Source organism: Homo sapiens, chromosome 7 (assembly GCF_000001405.40).
Source record: "Homo sapiens chromosome 7, GRCh38.p14 Primary Assembly".
NCBI lineage: Eukaryota > Metazoa > Chordata > Mammalia > Primates > Hominidae > Homo > Homo sapiens.
Window position 1 is genome coordinate 6658517 of NC_000007.14, and position 18253 is coordinate 6676769.

At 48.7% G+C, this 18253-nt stretch overlaps 1 long non-coding RNA gene and 1 pseudogene across 1 annotated transcript, besides 2 other annotated features; both read left to right on the top strand.

Moving 5' to 3' along the window:
- Nucleotides 652–1153: an enhancer, noted in NCBI's record as "H3K4me1 hESC enhancer chr7:6698799-6699300 (GRCh37/hg19 assembly coordinates)". NCBI's record gives its function as "activates a minimal SCP1, AML or CMV promoter by ChIP-STARR-seq in naive H9 embryonic stem cells {active_cell/tissue: H9 hESC(naive)}" and the evidence as "EXISTENCE:reporter gene assay evidence [ECO:0000049][PMID:30033119]".
- Nucleotides 5644–6144: an enhancer, noted in NCBI's record as "H3K27ac hESC enhancer chr7:6703791-6704291 (GRCh37/hg19 assembly coordinates)". NCBI's record gives its function as "activates a minimal SCP1, AML or CMV promoter by ChIP-STARR-seq in naive H9 embryonic stem cells {active_cell/tissue: H9 hESC(naive)}" and the evidence as "EXISTENCE:reporter gene assay evidence [ECO:0000049][PMID:30033119]".
- On the top strand, nucleotides 5882–14706 carry LOC124901583 (uncharacterized). The gene is made up of 3 exons (XR_007060202.1): nucleotides 5882–5934; nucleotides 6528–6592; nucleotides 14689–14706. It is a non-coding gene; the product is annotated as an uncharacterized LOC124901583 (long non-coding RNA).
- On the top strand, nucleotides 14709–16777 carry LOC100419773 (zinc finger protein 33B pseudogene; annotated as a pseudogene).

The following is an 18253-nucleotide window of genomic DNA, read 5'->3' on the forward strand; positions in this document are numbered from 1 at the left end:
ATCCCACCACTGCACTCCAGCTGGGGCAACAGAGTGAGATGCTGTCTCAAAAACAAAAGCGAATTCTCTAACTCAGTGATTTTGAACACTTCTGGCTCATGATCCACAGTGAGAAACCCATTTTCCGTCATTGAACTTGAGTGTGCATACGTGCATACACACACTTAGTGCACCAACACTTAAACCTTTACTGCATTTTTAAATTCCACCTCTTTAAATCTATTTCATTTTTTTTAAGCCAATCTCACTTCACGATGAGTCAGGATCTGCAGTGTGAAAGCCGTGGTTTGAATCCCTCTAAGCTGTAGCTCATCACACCCCCTTCTGAGCAGGACCTGCCCCCAGCTCCAGGAAGGGGGCTTGCCCAGTGTTCAGCAAAGACAGAGGCCAGGGTGGGACGCATATCAGGAAACGCTTTGGTGCAGAAGCACCTCTGTCTGAGCTACCTGCATTTAAGGAGGTGCTGGCCACGAAGAGACATGGGGCAGCCCTTGGTAAAATGGGGGAGTGAGGCAGCCAGGACAGTGCACCTTCCTGCGGGCCCAGAGCTCCTTTTCTCTCCAGGGACTGGGTATTGAGGTCGCTGCTGCTTTTGGGAACCCAGGAACTCAGGGCTCTTTCCTTTTCCCCCTTGTCCTCCTCCCTGCCCTGTCCCCTCTCAGAGAGGGAGAGATTCCAGGACAGATAACAATGGCCACTAACACGTGTGTACCAGACTCTGTCCTGAGAGCTTTATGTGAATTCATTCCATTTAGTTCTCACAATATTATTGTCGTTCCTGTTTTGCAGATGAAGAAACCAAGGCATAGAGAGGTTCAGTCATCTGTCCAAGGTTTGCATGACACGTGACCCCAGCATGCTTAAGGGCATTTCTGAAGGTGCTCTAGAGGTAGCCGTGCAAAGACCGGGCTACTGCAAGCATGATGGTCGCATACGAGAGCCTGTGCAGCCGGGCTGTGTTGCTGCAGGCGTGTAGTGGGGTGGAAGCTGTCTATTGTCTGTTTCAGTGCTGCCTGCTGTGTTACAAATGACACCTCCCCCCAAAACACACACACACACGGTGGTTTCCTATCACAGCCGTTGGGCAATGTGCAAGGATTCCAGGGATCAGGAATGCAGGTGGCCACAGCAGGGCTGGCTTTCTTTCCCCTGTTCCTTCACTTCTGGGACCTCAGCAGGGAAGGGACTTAGCAGCTGGAATCATGCACCTGTAATTGGGGCTGCAATAACTTGGCAATTAGGACTGTCAGCTGGCATGCACACAGGCGCCCTCCTGTGTGGCGTGGCTTCCTCAGCATGCTTGGATTTCTTCTATGGTGGCCCTGAGATCTGAGCATGTCCCACATACGAGGCAGAAGCTGTATGGCCTTGGGCCGTGCGTGGTGGCTCACGCCTGTAATCCCAGCACTTTGGGAGGCTGAGATGGGCGGATCACTTGAGGTCAGGAGTTCAAGAGCAGCCTGGCCAAAATGGATATTTACTAAAAATACAAAAATTAGCAGGGTGTGGTGGCGCACGCCTGTAGTCCCAGCTACTGAGGAGGCTGAGACAGGAGAATTGCTTGAACCCAGGAGGTGGAGGTTGCAGTGAGCCAAGATCACACCACTGCGCTCCAGCCTGGGCTAGAGTGAGACTCTCTCTCTCAAAAAAAAAAAAAAAAAAAAAAAGCTGTATGGTCTCATCTTAGAAGTTGTGCACCACCATATCCACCATACTCTACTGACTGGAGCTCATTCAAAGGGTGGGACACAGACCCCAATTCTCGATGGTAAGAATGTCACAAAATTTCACGGTCATTATTTTTTTTTAAGTACGAATACTTTTATATTCAGCTCCTGGAGAGCTATCACGTTTGAAAAATTAAAACATGAACCAAAGGGTCTAGTTTTTAAAACACAGCAGTGAGGCCAGGTGTGAGTTTTATAATCCCAGCACTTTGGGAGGCAGAGGTGAGAGGATTCCTTGAGCCCAGGAGTTCAAGACCAGCCTGAGCAATATAGCAAGACCCTGTCTCTACAAAAAAATAAACAACATTAGCCAGGTGTGGTGGCATGTGTCTGTGATCCCAGCTACTTGGGAGGCTGAGGTGGGAGGCTCGCTTGAGCCTGGAAGAGGGAGGTTGTAGTGAGCTGAGATCACGCTGCTGCATTCCAGCCTGGGTGACAGAGCGGGATCCCATCTCAAAACAGAACAAAAAAACCCCACTATGATTGGGTGAAATCCTACCCATGTAATAGAGTTATCCAAATTAGTAACAAAGTATAAAATGAAAGGAGGGTCCCTTAGAAATTTGAAATTCTTCTGCAGACAGTTCTGTCTTCTTTATTCAAGAGGTTTGTAGTCATTTTCAGAATTCACTCCAGAGCCAACTTTTAAATTTAAATATCAGCAAACCGGGCTGGTTATGTTGGCTCATGCCTGTAATCCCAACCCTTTGGGAGGCTAAGGTGGGTGGGTGGTTTGAGCCCAGGAGTTTGAGACCAGCCTGGGCAACATAGCGAGACTCTGTCTCTACTAAAGATACCAAAATTAGCCAGGCATGGTGGCACAGCCCTGTAATCCCAGCTACTCGGGAGGCACAAGAATCACTTGAACCTGGGAGGTGTGGCTGCAATGAGTCAAGATCGCACCACTGCACTCCAGCCTGGGTGACAGAGCGAGACTCTGTCTTGAAAAAAAAAAACAGTATCTTCCTTCTTTCCAGTGCAGACTAAAAAAATTTAGCATCTTCCTACTCTGCTGTGATTATTTCACATTTCATGCCTGTATCAACATATCTCATGTACCCCATAAATATATACGCCTACTATGTACCCACAAAAATTAAAAATAAAAAACAGTATCTTCCAAGATTCATGAAGATGTTGCCTGTGTAAAATCAGAACGGGATGGTGGGAAAAAGAGAAATCAGAGAACAAGAAAAAATTTGGAAATTAAACATAATGGCCCAAAAGAAAAAGAAAGAACAGAAGGTAAAGTTTATCTCTTAAAATACAGAGCAAAAAAGAGGAAGAGGCAGAAATAATGATACGGAGGATTGACACAAGAATCTGCACACTCAGGTAATAGGAATTCAATAAGGAGGGAGGAACAGAACATGTCTGTCACCCAGGCTGGAGTGCAATGGCACAATCATAGCTCACTGCGGCCTCGACTTCCTGGTCTCAAGCCATCCTCCTGCCTCATCCTCCTGAGTAGCTGGGACTATGGGCATGCGCCACTAACCCTGGCTAATTTTTGTATCTTTTGTAGTGATGGGGTTTCATTCACTATGTTGCCCAGGCTGGTCTCAAACTCCTGGGCTCAAGCAATCCTCCCACCTCAGCCTCCCAAAGTGCTGGGACTACAGGCATGAGCCACCACGCCTGGCCAGGTCCACCCTACTCTTAACTAATTACATCTGTAATGATCTTATTCCCAAATAAGGCCACATTCTGAAACACTGAGATGGGAGTTAGGATTTTGACAAATCTTTTTTTCTGTTTGCGGGAGGTGGGGTGTGGGGGGCGGGCTGCTGGGGGCACAATCAACCCGTAATACAAGAGAAAGAAGCAAACCGGCCAAGAGACAGAACTAAACGCCGTCCTGATGTTGCTGCTTGGGCCCCTAGATCTGGCTGTGTCTGAAGCTAGCAAGAGCCATCCTGGACTTTTAAAGTTGCTTAAAGACAGCAGATTTATTTTTTTGGCTTAAGCTCATTTTAGTTGGGTTTCTGTATTTGCAGCAGAAAAGGCCCTCAATGGCAAAGCATCCTTCACAGTGTAGCCTAAGTATCTGTTTCTCAGGTCTTCTCTGTTCCCTTAATCTAATTTAGATTTCTCTGTTCTAGTTTTCTTTTTTTTGAGATGGTGTCTCACTCTATTGCCGAGGCTGGAGCCCCATGGCATGATCTTGGCTCACTGCAAACTCCACCTCCCAGATTCAAGCGATTCTCCTGCCTCAGCCTCCTGAGTAGCTGGGATTACAGGCACCCACCATCACGCCCAGCTAATTTTTGTATTTTTAGTAGAGTTAGTAGAAACGGGATTTCACCATGTTGGCCAGGATGGTCTTGAACTCCTGACCTCAAGTGATCCACCTGTCTCTGCCTCCCAAAGTGCTGGGATTACAGGTGTGAGTCACTGTGCCCAGCCCTTTTTTTTTTTTTTTTTTTTTTTTTGAGGTAGGGTCTCACTCTCTCCCCCAGGCTGGAATATAGCAGTGCGATCTCGGCTCACTGCAGCCTTCACCTCCTGGGATAAGGTGATTCTCCTATCTCAGCCTCCTGAGTAGCTGGGACTACAGGTGTGCACTACCACACCAGCTAATTTTTGTACTTTTTGTAGAGACAGGGTTTCGCCATGTTGCCCAGGCTGGTTTTGAACTCCTGGGCTCAAGCTATCCGCCTGCCTCGGCCTCCCAGTCCCTGTTCTGTTCTTTTATAGTCCTCTATGGGCTCTGACTTTTATAGTTCTTAGCTTTGGTTATTACATTATTATGTGTTATTGGTTGAATGACTGTTTCCTCCAAGAGACAGTGTGATCCAACAAGAAAGATTTTTTTTGTTATTCTTTCTCCCCGTGGACCAGCACAGTGCCTAGTAAAAAAATAATTATCTGCATAATTAACATGTTTGAATGAATGGGTCATTGAATGGAGAAAGGTGAAGTCTAGACCTAGAGACATCAGGTTTTGGGTGGTCCCCAGCTAACAATTCCTTGCTGAGCTGCAGAGCCTCAACCTGCCCCAACCTTTTTTTTGAGATGGAGTCTTGCTCGGTCGCCCAGGCTGGAATGCAATGCCGCGATCTCAGCTCACTGGAACCTCTGCCTCTTGGATTCAAGCGATTCTCCTGCTTCAGCCTCCCCAGTAGCTGGGATTACAGGCATGCGCTGCCACACTCAGACTAATTTTTGTATTTTTAATAGAGACGAGGTTTCACCATGTTGGCCAGGCTGGTCTTGAACTCCTGACCTCAGGTGATCTGCCAGCCTCGGCCTCCCAAAGTGCTGGGATTACAGGTGTGAGCCACTGCCTGTACGGGAGGGGATGTGGAGGTGGGGGTGATGGGGGAGGGGGTGGAGATTTAGAGGTGGGGGGTGAAGGGGATGGGGAGAGGATGTGGAGGTGGGGGGTGAAGGGGAGGGGGAGGCGATGTGGAGGTAGGGGGTGAAGGGAAGGGGGAGAGGGAAGGGATGTGGGGGAGAGGGAAGGGAGGTGAAGGAGGGGAGCAGGAGGGGATGTGGAGGTGGGGGGTGAAGGGGAGGGGGAGAGGATGTGGAGGTGGGGGGGTGAAGGGAAGAGGGAGAGGGAAGGGATGTGGAGGTGGGAGGTGAAGGGGGAGGGGTTGTGGAAGTGGGGGAGAAGGTGTGCCAGGCGATGGAGGGGGTCGGCGGGGGCGGGGCCCGCACTGTCCCCGCCCCATGTGGGTGGAGCCTCCTGCCCGGGCCTGTGTCGCGGCAGAGCCTGGCGGGCTTTGTGCGCAGGCGCTTGCGGCTTCGCGGGGCTGACCGTGCGCTTCGCCTGCGGGGTCGTGCTGGGGCGGCGGGTGAGCCTGGGGGGCTGCAGAGCGGGCGCGGGGCGCGTCCGAACAGTCGCAGCCCCGAGCCCCTGGGACCGCCTTCCCCGCGGAGGCTTGGGCTCAGCGCCTGGGGCGGAGGTGGGGCGGGGGCGGTCCGCCCGCAGCAGGGGGTGCCGGGGCCGCCTCCGGGTTTCCTCCGCTGGATGCGGCGGTGGTGCGCTGTCGGCCCGGCGGGTGCGGCGGGTGTGGGGTCACGGGTGTCGCGCGCCGCCCTGGGCCCTCCTCCGAGGTGCCTCGCGTGGGGCCCGTGCCAGGGCCCGCTGAGTCGGGGCCGCTCGTGGGCCGCCTGGCTGCCGCCTGGGGCCTCCGGCCGCTGCGTCCCGCGGCTTCTGGGAACCGTGCGCGCTCACAGGCGGACTTGGGCCTCGAACAAGGTTCCTGCTAAATTGAGTTGTGCCTTAGGCTCTGCTGGACAGAGCAGCTCCACTGCGTTGACAAGGAGGGGGCTCAGGGACAGAAATCTCAGCGGGAAGACAACCCCTCCTCCGAAGGGAGGCCCATCAGGGCTTCAGAGAAGGGGCAGAGAATCGCATAAGAGGAGCGTGTGGTCCGGAGGGGCCCGGGCTTAGGGGAGGCCCTGAAAGACCCAGTAGAGGAAGGGAGCTGGGCAGAGGGTGATAGCAGAGGCCAGACTGGTCTCAAACTCCAGGCCTCAAGTGATCCTCCCGCCTTGGCCTTGCAGGGCGCTGGGGTTATGGGCATGAGCCACTTTGCCTGGCCTACTCAATTCTGTTTTAAATGTTTCTGTGTTTGTGAAGTGGGACAAAAATTGTTAAAGCAATGGGAAACATTGCAGGTTTAAGTTCCACTAAATCATACTGGAGTCAAAAAGGGATGCGGGGATGTTTCCCTCCTTTCCTTCTGCAGGGTCAAGGTTACCCAGCGGACGTGTGGGGGTTTTTAGGAGAATTAGGCGGGTGCAGAGCCTGCCAGATCGCTCATTCTGTTTCTTCCCCCCTTCTTCCAGGTACGCTATTTGAAGAACAGGTTTCCATGCTCTTAGAGGAGCATCAGAAAATGAACAAACCCCAGGTGAGTTCCTTTTTTAGATTTTTTCATTTTCCAGGGGATTTGCTGGCTTTTATAAAATTCGTTTATTCAGATGGACATTTAAAAAGCTACTTCAGGATAAATGAGGAGTGAGAGGCAACTGAGCAGTAGGCAGAGGTGGCTGCGGAACCCTGTGGTCATGTGATCCTACAATCGTCAAAGGAGAGGGGCAGATTTGTCTTTTTTTTTTTGACACAGAGTCTTGCTCTGTTGCCCAGGCTGGAATGCAGTGGCGTGATCTTGGCTCACTGCAACCTTCACCTCTGGGGTTCAACCAAATCTCATGCCTCGGTCTCCCGACTAGCTGGGACTACAGGTGCTCACCACCACACCCGGCTAATTTTTGTATTTTTTATAGAGATGGTTTCGCCATGTTGGCCAGTCTGGTCTCGAGCCCCTGACCTCAAGCAGTCCTCCTGCCTGGGCCTCCCAAAGTGCTGGGATTACAGGCATGAGCCACTGCGCCTGGCCTTCATTTGTCTTTTATCTTCCTAATCTGCACTTCATTTTCACTGGCCACCAGAAGAAACGAACTAGTTACTCTTGGGACAGAAAGATTTCCTGGAGTCTGAAAGAATGTCTGAACATCGTCATGGAGCAAAGAACCTTGCAGTGAACCTCCCTGTTGCCTGTAATTGTTCTTTGTTGGAAGTTGGCGGTACAACTCAGGTTTTATTAGGGGGACCAGAGCAATATGGACTCAATAGAGACTTTTTGGAACATCTGTTTTGATCTAAGGACAAAACCTAAAAGCATTTGGAGAAATGAAAGAAATGGACTGCCTGTATTTGAAATAACTTTTCCTTACACTCTATAGGTGGGACAGCAGATGGTTCAAAGTCAAACCTTTTTTTTTTTTTTTTGAGACGGAGTCTCACTCTATTGTCCAGGCTAGAGTGCAGTGGTGCGATCTTGGCTCGCTGCAACCTCTGCCTCCTGGGTTCCACTGATTCTCCTGCCTCAGCGTCCTCAGTAGCTAGGATTACAGGTGTGTGTCACCACAGCAGGCTAATTTTTTTTTTTTTTTGAGACAGAGTCTTGCTCTGTCGCCCAGGCTGCAGTGCAGTGGCATGATCTTGGCTCACTGCAAACTCCGCCTCCCGGATTCACACCATTCTCCTGCCTCGGCTTCCTGAGTAGCTGGGACTACAGGTGCCCACCACCACGCCTGGCTAGTTTTTTGTATTTTTAGTAGAGATGGGGTTTCACTGTTAGCCAAGATGGTCTTGACCTCCTGACCTCGTGATCCGCCTGGCTCGGCCTCTCAAAGTGCTGGGATTACAGGTGTGAGCCACTGCACCCAGCCAATTTTTGTATTTTTAGTAGAGACGAGGTTTCACTATGTTGGCCAGGCTGGTCTCAAACTCCTGACCTCAGGTGATCCGCCTGTCTCAGCCTCCTAAAGTGCTGGGATTACAGGCATGAGCCACCGTGCCTGGCCTAAAGTCATATTCTTTGGTGAATGTTTCTGCACTATCCATTCTCTTTTTTTGCTTGTGGTAAAATATACATAACATCAAATTTGCCATTTTCACTCTTAATGGTACAATTCAGTGGCATTAATTATATTCACAGTTGTGCAGCCATCACCGTTTCTATTTCCAAAAGGTTTTCATCACTCTAAACAAAAAGTGTGTCTCCATTAAGCAACAACTCCCCATTTCTCCCTCCCCTCAGCCCCGGTAACATGTACTTTCTGCCTCTGTGAAGTTCCCTATTCTAGGTATTTTATATAAGTGCAAACATGAAATATTTGTCCTTTTGTGTCTGGCTTATTCCACTGAACATGACGTTTACAGGGTTCCTTTATGCTGTGGCCTGGGTCAGAGCTGCATTCCTTTCGGCGCCTGAATAATATTCCATTGTGTGGATCGACCACATTTTCTTTACCTCTTCATTTGCAGATGGACATTTAGACTTTTTCCACGTTTTCATTGTTGTAAATAATGCTGCTGTGAGCATTGGGGTACAGGTATCTGTTCATTCCTTCGCATTTTAGTCTGCTTTGTGTGCTCTTGCCACTTCCCCGCCACCTGCCCAGGACGTCCTGATAAAGCCTAACGGCAGCCTCTTTGCAGTTCAGTCCAATGCGTGTTTTTCTGACCTGGCCTTCCTAGAACATTCTGCTGCATTGGCATTGAACTGCTTTCACCTTCTAGAAAGGCCCCTCTCCCTAGTGTCTTGTGACATGCTTCTTGTGGCTTTATTCCTGCTGCTCAGATTTATTGGTGCCCCTCATTGTGTCTTCCTCCAGCACATTCTCATGGCTTATGTCCAGATGTCCATCCTTTACTCCCTCATCTTTTTACTCTTCCAGTCTTTCCCGAGTATTTCATGCCCTCTGTAGTGGTAGGGACGGGAGGCAGGGAAATTCTGGGCAGAAGAGGGCGGGTCCCTGGCGAGGGCCCTACCCTCAAGCCGAAAAGCCTGACACTGTGGTCGAAAGTGAGAACTGGCCGGGCGCAGTGGCTCACACCTGTAATCCCAGCACTTTGGGAGGCCAAGGTGGGTGGATCACGAGGTCAGGAGATCGAGACCATCCTGGCTAACACGGCGAAACCCCATCTCTACAAAAAATACAAAATATTAGCTGGGCGTGGTGGCGGGTTCCTGTAGTCCCAGCTACTTGGGAGGCTGAGGCAGGAGAATGGCATGAACCCGGGAGGCGGAGCTTGCAGTGAGCCAAGATAGCGCCACTGCAGTCCAGCCTGGGCAAAAGAGTGAGACTCTGTCTCAGGAAAAAAAAAAAAAAAAAGTGAGAACTTACATCCCTGTTTTCCCACTCAAATGTTGCCTTTTCCCAAACTACCCGTGGCCCACCCCACCCCCCCCATCCTGTGCCCATAAAAACCCCAGGTTTTGTCTGTAGAAGCCCTTTGTATTTCCATATAAATTTTAGGGCTGGGCGTGGTGGCTCTCGCCTGTAATCCGAGCACTTTGGGAGGCCGAGGCAGGCGGATCACCTGAGGTCTTAGCCTGGCCAACATGGTGAAACCCCATCTCTACTAAAAATACAAAAATTAGCCAGGCATAGTGGCATACGCCTGTAATCTCAGCTACTAGGGAGGCTGAGGCAGGAGAGTCGCTTGAATCTAGGAGGCGGAGAAAGAAAAAATTAGAACCAGCTTGTATATATCTACAAAGAAAAATTTGGGATTAAGATTGGAATTGAACTTGTAAGATCAGTTGGGGGAGAATGGACCTCTTTAACAGTATTCATTCTTTCATCAACCCAGTATATTTCTACATCTGTTTAAGTCTTTAACTTATTTCAGGATTGTTTTGTAGTTTACAAGGCACAGGTCTGGCACATCTCTCAAATGTATCCCTAAGTGTTTCATTTTTTTTTGATACTCTTGTAAATGGTATTGAATTTTAATTTATGATCGTTTTTTGCTAGTATGTAGAAATACCAAATTTTGTATGTTTATACTGCAAAATTATCCTGCAACCTTATTAAACTCACTAGTTCTAGCAGCTTTCTTGTAGGTTCTGCAAGATTTTCTACATAGACAATTCTATCATGTCATTTACAAATAGTTTTACTTCTTCTTTAATCTCTGTGACTTTTTGTTGTTTTATTGCGTTGACTAAAACCGCCTATACAATGTTGAATAGAAATGAGATGCGACATCTTTGCCTTTCTTATTTTAATTTTAGGAGGACAGCCCTAAGTCTTTCACCATTACTGTGATGGCAGCTGTTGGTTTTTCATAGGTGCTTTTTATTAGGTTGAGAAAATTCCCTTTTATTCTTAAACTGTTGAAAGTCCTTTTTTAAAAATCAGGAATCAGTGTTTTGTCAAATTCTTTTCTGCATCTATTGATAAAATTATATGGTTTTCCTTATCTATTTGTTAGTATCACAAATTGTTTGATTATTAAATATTAGTGTTCACCTGGTACAAAGCTGTTCTAATATTCTTACCCCATCTTGTATCTGTGGAATTTCTAGTGATGTTACCTCTCACCCCTGGTGGCGATAATTTGTTGGTGTTGCCTCCTCCTCTTCTCTGTCTCTCATCAGTGTAGCTAGAGGTTTGAAACATTTATTGATTTTTAAAAAAGTTTTATATATTACTGATTTTTGTTTCTCTGTTCTCTATTTTGTTGTTTTCTGTTCTCACTTTTATTACTTTTTTCTGACTACTTAGGTGTAATTTGCTCTTTTTCTGGTTTCTAAAAAGGTAGAAGATGAGGTCATTGATTTTATTATTATTTTTTTGAAGTGGAGTCTTACTCTGTTGCCCAGGCTGGAGTGCAGTGGCAGGATCTTGGCTCACTGCAACCTCCACCTCTCAGGTTCAAGTGATTCTCCTGTCTTAGCCTCCTGAGTAGCTGGGATTATAGGTGCCCGCCACCACGCCCAGCTAATTTTTCTATTTTTAGTATAGATGGGGTTTTGCCATGTTGGCCAGGCTGGTCTCGAACTCCTGACTTCAGGTGATCCACCCACCTTGGTCTCCCAAAGAGTTGGGATTACAGGCGTGAGCCACCATGCCTGGCCTGCTTTCAAATTTTTAAGAAAATATAGTTTAAGGGGCATGATTTGCAAAGGTGTATGTGTGGGGGTACATTTTCTGGAGGATAACTGAGTGTTTTATAGAGCCAAGGCCGAAAAGCAAGCTAGTTGAGTGTAAGAATCTCTGTTAGACTTGTGACTCTTGTTTGGGAATGAGTATTTTAGAAGATATTTATTGTGGATTCTTGTAAGGATACCTTGAACTAATATAAACCTTATTTTATCTGTTGGCACATAGATAGTGGGCTTTATCTATATAGGTCTTATTCATCTGTTTTCTCTCACATCTACGCCATCCTGTGATATTTCTCCTTAACATCCATGACGTAGTTTAAGGGGCATGATTTGAAAAAGGGGTGTGTGTGTTGAGGGTACATTTTCTGGAGGATAACTGAGTTTTTTGTAGAGCCAAAGCTGAAAAGCAAGCTAGTTGAATGTAAGAATCTCTGTCAGTCTCATGACTTGTGTTTGGGAATGAATATTTTAGAAGATATTTATTGTGGATTTTTGTAAGGATACTTTGAACTAATATAAGTCTTATTTTATCTGTTGGCACATAGATAGTGGGCTTTATCTATATAGGTCTTTTTTTTTTTTTTTTTTTTTTTATTGTTCATTCTTGGGTGTTTCTCGCAGAGGGGGATTTGGCAGGGTCATAGGACAGTAGTGGAGGGAAGGTCAGCAGATAAACAAGTAAACAAAGGTCTCTGGTTTTCCTAGGCAGAGGACCCTGCGGCCTTCCGCAGTGTTTGTGTACCTGGGTTAGATTAGGGAGTGGTGGTGACTCTTAACAAGCATGCTGCCTTCAAGCATCTGTTTAACAAAGCACATCTTGCATGGCCCTTAATCCATTTAACCCTGAGTGGACACAGCACATGTTTCAGAGAGCACGGGGTTGGGGGTAAGGTCACCGATCAACAGGATAAGAATTTTTCTTAGTACAGAGCAAAATGAAAAGTCTCCCATGTCTACCTCTTTCTACACAGACACGGCAACCATCCGATTTCTCAATCTTTTCCCCGCCTTTCCCCCCTTTCTATTCCACAAAACCGCCATTGTCATCATGGCCTGTTCTCAATGAGCTGTTGGGCACACCTCCCAGACGGGGTGGTGGCCGGGCAGAGGGGCTCCTCACTTTCCAGTAGGGGCGGCCGGGCAGAGGCGCCCCTCACCTCCCGGACGGGGCGGCTGGCCGGGCGGGGGGCTGACCCCCCCACCTCCCTCCCGGACGGGGCGGCTGGCCGGGCGGGGGGCTGATCCCCCCACCTCCCTCCCGGACGGGGCGGCTGGCCGGGCGGGGGGCTAACCCCCCCACCTCCCTCCCAGACGGGGCGGCTGGCCGGGCGGGGGGCTGACACCCCACCTCCTTCTCGGACGAGGCGGCTGGCTGGGCAGAGGGGCTCCTCACTTCCCAGTAGGGGCGGCCGGGCAGAGGCGCCCCTCACCTCCCGGACGGGTCGGCTGGCCGGGCAGGGGGCTGACCCCCCCCACCTCCCTCCCGGACGGGGCGGCTGGCCGGGCGGGGGGGCTGACCCCCCCACCTCCCTCCCAGACGGGGCGGCTGGCCGGGCGGGGGGCTGACCCCCCCACCTCCCTCCCGGACGGGGCGGCTGGCCGGGCAGAGGGGCTCCTCACTTCCCAGTAGGGGCGGCCGGGCAGAGGTGCCCCTCACTTCCCGGACGGGGCGGCTGGCCGGGCGGGGGGCTGACCCCCCCACCTCCCTCCTGGGCGGGGCGGCTGGCCGGGCAGAGGGGCTCCTCACTTCCCAGTAGGGGTGGCCGGGCAGAGGCGCCCCTCACCTCCCGGACGGGGCGGCTGGCCGGGGGCGGGGGCTGACCCCCCCCACCTCCCTCTCGGACGGGGCAGCTGGCCTGGCGGGGGCTGACCCCCACCTCCCTCCCGGACGGGGTGGCTGCCGGGCGGAGACACTCTTCACTTCCCAGACGGGGTGGCTGCCGGGCGGAGGGGCTCCTCACTTCTTAGATGGGGCTGCTGCCAGGCGGAGGGGCTCCTCACTTCTCAGACGGGGCGGTTGCCAGGCGGAGGGTCTCCTCTCTTCTCAGACGGGGCGGCCGGGCAGAGACACTCCTCACCTCCCAGACGGGGTTGCGACCGGGTAGAGGCGCTCCTCACATCCCAGACAGGGCGGCGGGGCAGAGGCGCTCCCCACATCTCAGACGATGGGCGGCCGGGCAGAGACGCTCCTCACTTCCTAGATGGGATGGCGGCCGGGAAGAGGCGCTCCTCACTTCCTAGATGGGATGGCGACCGGGCAGAGACGCTCCTCACTTTCCAGACTGGGCAGCCAGGCAGAGGGGCTCCTCACGTCCCAGACGATGGGTGGCCAGGCAGAGACGCTCCTCACTTCCCAGACGGGGTGGCGGCTGGGCAGAGGCTGCAATCTCGGCACTTCGGGAGGCCAAGGCAGGCAGCTGGGAGGTGGAGGTTGTAGCGAGCCGAGATCACGCTACTGCACTCCAGCCTGGGCACCATTGAGCACTAAGTGAACCAGACTCCATCTGCAATCCTGGCACCTCGGGAGGCCGAGGCTGGCGGATCACTCACGGTTAGGAGCTGGAGACCAGCCCGGCCAACACAGCGAAACCCCGTCTCCACCAAAAAAATACGAAAACCAGTCAGGCGTGGCGGCGCGCGCCTGCAATCGCAGGCACTCGGCAGGCTGAGGCAGGAGAATTGGGCAGGGAGGCTGCAGTGAGCCGAGATGGCAGCAGTACAGTCCAGCTTCGGCTCGGCATCAGAGGGAGACTGTGGAAAGAGAGGGAGAGGGAGATCGTGGGGAGAGGGAGAGCTTTTTTTTTTTTTTTTTGAGATGGAGTCTCGCTCTGTCACTCAGGCTGGAGTGCAGTGGCGTGACCTCAGCTTAGTGCAAGCTCTGCCTCCTGGGTTCATGCCATTCTCCTGCCTCAGCCTCCCAAGTAGCTGGGACTGCACGCATCCGCCACCATGCCTGGCTAATTTTGTTTTTGCATTTTTAGTAGAGACGGGGTTTCACCATGTTAGCCAGGATGGTCTCGATCTCCTGACCTCGTGATCTGCCCTTCTCGGCCTCCCAAAGTGCTGGGATTACAGGCTTGAGCCACCACACCTGGCCTATCTATATAGGCCTTGCTCATCTGTTTTCTCTCACATCTAAACCATCCTGTGGTATTTCTCCTTAACAGCCATGTCTCCAAACACTGCTTTTCACTCCATTTCCTGCTTATGATTTCTGTTGGGCTGACCTCATTTTTTTAGTTTCTCTGTCATGCTTTTCCCTCAGTTAACTGTTCCCTATGTTTAATAATTTCACCTTTTCAGTTTTGAGGGTCATCTTTTTAAAAATAGCAAATATATGTGTGTTCCTTGCAAGTTTTTCCTCCCTTTTCCACTATAGCAGGCGGTTTTCATTTTTATTTTTTGGAACCAAGGTGAAATATGTATTTGGGATTTCATCCCAGGAGGCTGGGCCTGAAAATAGAGAATCCATGATATAAATCACACGTACATAGGAAATGTTTTAACATTTTTAACGTATACTTAATTTTTCTCATTTCTAGAAGTCCAGAAATTAAGAGACCTGATAAAGGGAAGCCAGGAAAATCGAGATGCATATTTGTGGTACACTTCAGTTCTCAGTAACAACACACTGACTAAGAAGAGGGAATACGTTTTTGGGAAAAACCTTAATCTGGGTGCAAACCCAGTTTCTTCAAGAAAAATAGCCTGTTAGTATGACTCATGTGGAATGAGTTTGAATACGTTTCAGAATCAAGTATTAGTGATAAAAATTATGCCAGTAATAACACTGATGAAATTAATATAAGTGAGAAGTTGCCTTTTGATAGTAATCAGGAAAACACTCATACTGGGAAGAAATCTGTTGTATATAACCAAAGTGGGAAGTCACCAAGTCATAGTGAGGACCTTATTAAGGAACAGGAAATTCAAGCTTTAGCCCACCTTTGGAAGCTAATGAACATGGAAATCCCTTCCTTGAGAAGGTAGCCACCATCACACAAGAGACAGCTCAAACAAGAGAGAAACCCTGTGATTATAAGGAGCATGGGGAAAATGTCAGTGCCACATCAGCTCCCAGAGTTCATCAAGAAATTCACACAAGGAAGAATCACTCTGAAGTTAACGAGTGTGAGAAGTCAACCTTCTTCAAACATCAGAAAGTTAATACAGGGGTGAAAACCCAGGGAGCTAATGAAAATGAGAATTTCAGTCACAAGTCACATCTCAGTCTGCCTCATAGAACTCACACAGTAGAGAAAACTTTTGAATGTAGTCATGGCAAGAAATCTTTTTGCCAGGAGTCCCACTTCACTGAGCATCACAGGACATGCACAAGAGAGAAACCATGTGAAAGTAATAAATATGGGAAAACCTTCCAGAAATGACAACTTACCAACTCTCAGATAATGCATCGAGAAGAGAAACCCCATGAATCTGGTAAAACCCTTGTGAAGTCAGCCCTCACTGATCACCAGATAAGTCAATCAGAAAAGAAGCTTTATGTATGTAGTGACTGTAAGAAACGTTTTTGTCATAGCTCAGTCCTAAGAGTCCATCAGAGTATTCACACAGGGAGAAACCCTATCAGTGTAATGGGAAATCCTAAGCAAAATCAAACTTCAGTCATCATCAGAGAACTCACACAGGGGAGAAACCATATGAATGTAAGGAATGTAGGAAATCCTTCCATGTGAAACCAAACCTCACTAAACATCAGAAAACACATATAGGGGAGAAACCTTTCAAATGTACTGCGTGTGGAAGAACTTTCTTCCAGCAGTCACAATTTGCTGATTATTAGAGAAAACACACATGAGAGAAATCCTGCAAATGTAATGAATTTGTTGGCCGGGCGCGGTGGCTCATGCCTGTAATCCCAGCACTTTGGGAGGCCAAGGCGGGCAGATCACGAGGTCAGGAGATTGAGACCATCCTGGCTAACACAGTGAAACCCTGTCTGTACTAAAAATACAAAAAATTAGCCGAGTGTGGTAGCGGGTGCCTGTAGTACCAGCTACTTGGGAGGCTGAGGCAGGAGAATGGCGTGAACCCAGGAGGCAGAGCTTGCAGTGAGCCGAGATCATGCCTCTGCACTCCAGCCTGGGTGACAGAGCAAGACTCCGTCTCAAAAAAAAAAAAAAAAAAAAAAATTAATGAATGTGGAAAATCAGTCCTTCTACTATAAGTCAACCCTAAATGTCCATCAGGGAAAGCACACAGAAGAGAAACCCTATAAATATACTGAGTGTGAGAAATCCTTCTATAAATCAGTGCTAATTATACATGAGGAAACACAGATAAGAAACCCTATGCGTGTAATGAATGTGTGAAATCCTTTTGTGTGAAGTCAAGTCTCAGTAAACAACAAAATTCACACCAGGGAAAAGCCATATGAATGTAGTGAATGTGGAAAATATGAATTCAATCCTCATTGTGTATCAGAGAACTCACACTGGGGAGAAACCCTGTGGATGCAATGAATGTGAGAAGTCCTTCTACAACAAGGATGCCCTCACTAAACATAACAGAACTCACACGGGAGAGGCCACATAAATGTAATGAACGTAGGAAGTCCTTACAACCCTAGTTATACACCAGAGAACTCACACTGGAGAGAAACCTTACAAATGTAATGAGTGTGAAAAATCCTATCTGAAGTCACATCTTTTTTTTTTTTTTTTTAATTTTTTGAGATGGAGTCTCGCTCTGTCACCCAGGCTGGAGTGCAGTGGCGTGATCTTGGCTCGCTGCAGCCTCCACCTCCTGGGTTTAAGCGATTGTCATGCCTCAGCCTCCCAACTAGCTGGGATTACAGGTGCCTGCCACCATGCCCAGCTAATTTTTGTATTTTTAGTAGAGACAGGCTGGTCTTAAACCCCTGACCTCAAGTGATCAGCCTGCCTTGGCCTCCCAAAGTCCTGGGATTACAGGCATGAGCTACTGCACTTGGCCTGAAGTCACATCTTAATATTCATCTGAGAAATCACACAGGAAAGAGACCCCATGTATGTAATGAATGTGGGAAGGCCTTTTCTATGAAGTCAAACTTCACTGATCATCAGAGAACACACTGAGAAGAGAAATCCTATGAATGTACTGAATGTCAGAAAACTTTTCACCATAAATCAACCCTAACAGTACATCAGAGAACTCATATGGGGAGAAGCCTTATAAATGTAATGAATGTAGAAAATCTTTCTATATGAAGTCAGCCCTCAGTCAGCATCAGAGGATACATATATGGGAGGAACATTGTGAATGTAAAGAATGTGGGAAAACCTACCAGAGGTCACACCTTGCTAAACATCATCGAAAATACACCACACAAGAAACCCTATGAATGTAAGCAATGTGGAAAAACCTTCCAGAAGTCACACCTCATTGAACATCAGAGGACACACCCAGGGGAGATACCCCATGAATGTAATAAATGTGGGAAATCCTTCTGTTATAAGTCACCCTTGACCATTCACCAGAGAACTCACATAGAAGAGAAGCCCTATAAATGTAGCAAATCTGTTACTTATTTCTGTATGAAATCACACCTCACTGTGCATCAGAGACCCCATACCAGGAAGAACCCTTTTGAGTGTAATGAATGCAGGAAAATGTTTTATGTGAAGTCAAACCTCATCAATCATCAGAGAACTCACACAGGGGAGAAACCATATGAAGGCAATACATGTGGGAAATCTGTATGAAGTCATCCTCCACACAAGAGTGATACTCTGAATTGTAACAAATATGGGAAATCCTCATGTGTAAAGTCAATTTGTTTTTCAAACCAAAATTCATGGTAGAAACCTTATGAATGTAAATAATGTAGGGGTCTCCTTCTGTGTAAATTAAATCCTTAGTTGGCATCAGAAAACACAAGATATAGGGACTGGAGGCCTCTCCACAAATGAAATGGATATGGGAAGATTTTGTGTTATCTTAGAAAATACTGGCCGGGCATGGTGGCTCACACCTGTAATCCCAGCACTTTGGGAGGCTGAGGCAGATGGATCACCTGAGGTCAGGAGTTCAAGACCAACCTGGCCAACATGAGGAAACCCCATCTCTACTAAAAATACAAAAATTAGCCAGGCGTGGTGGCAAATG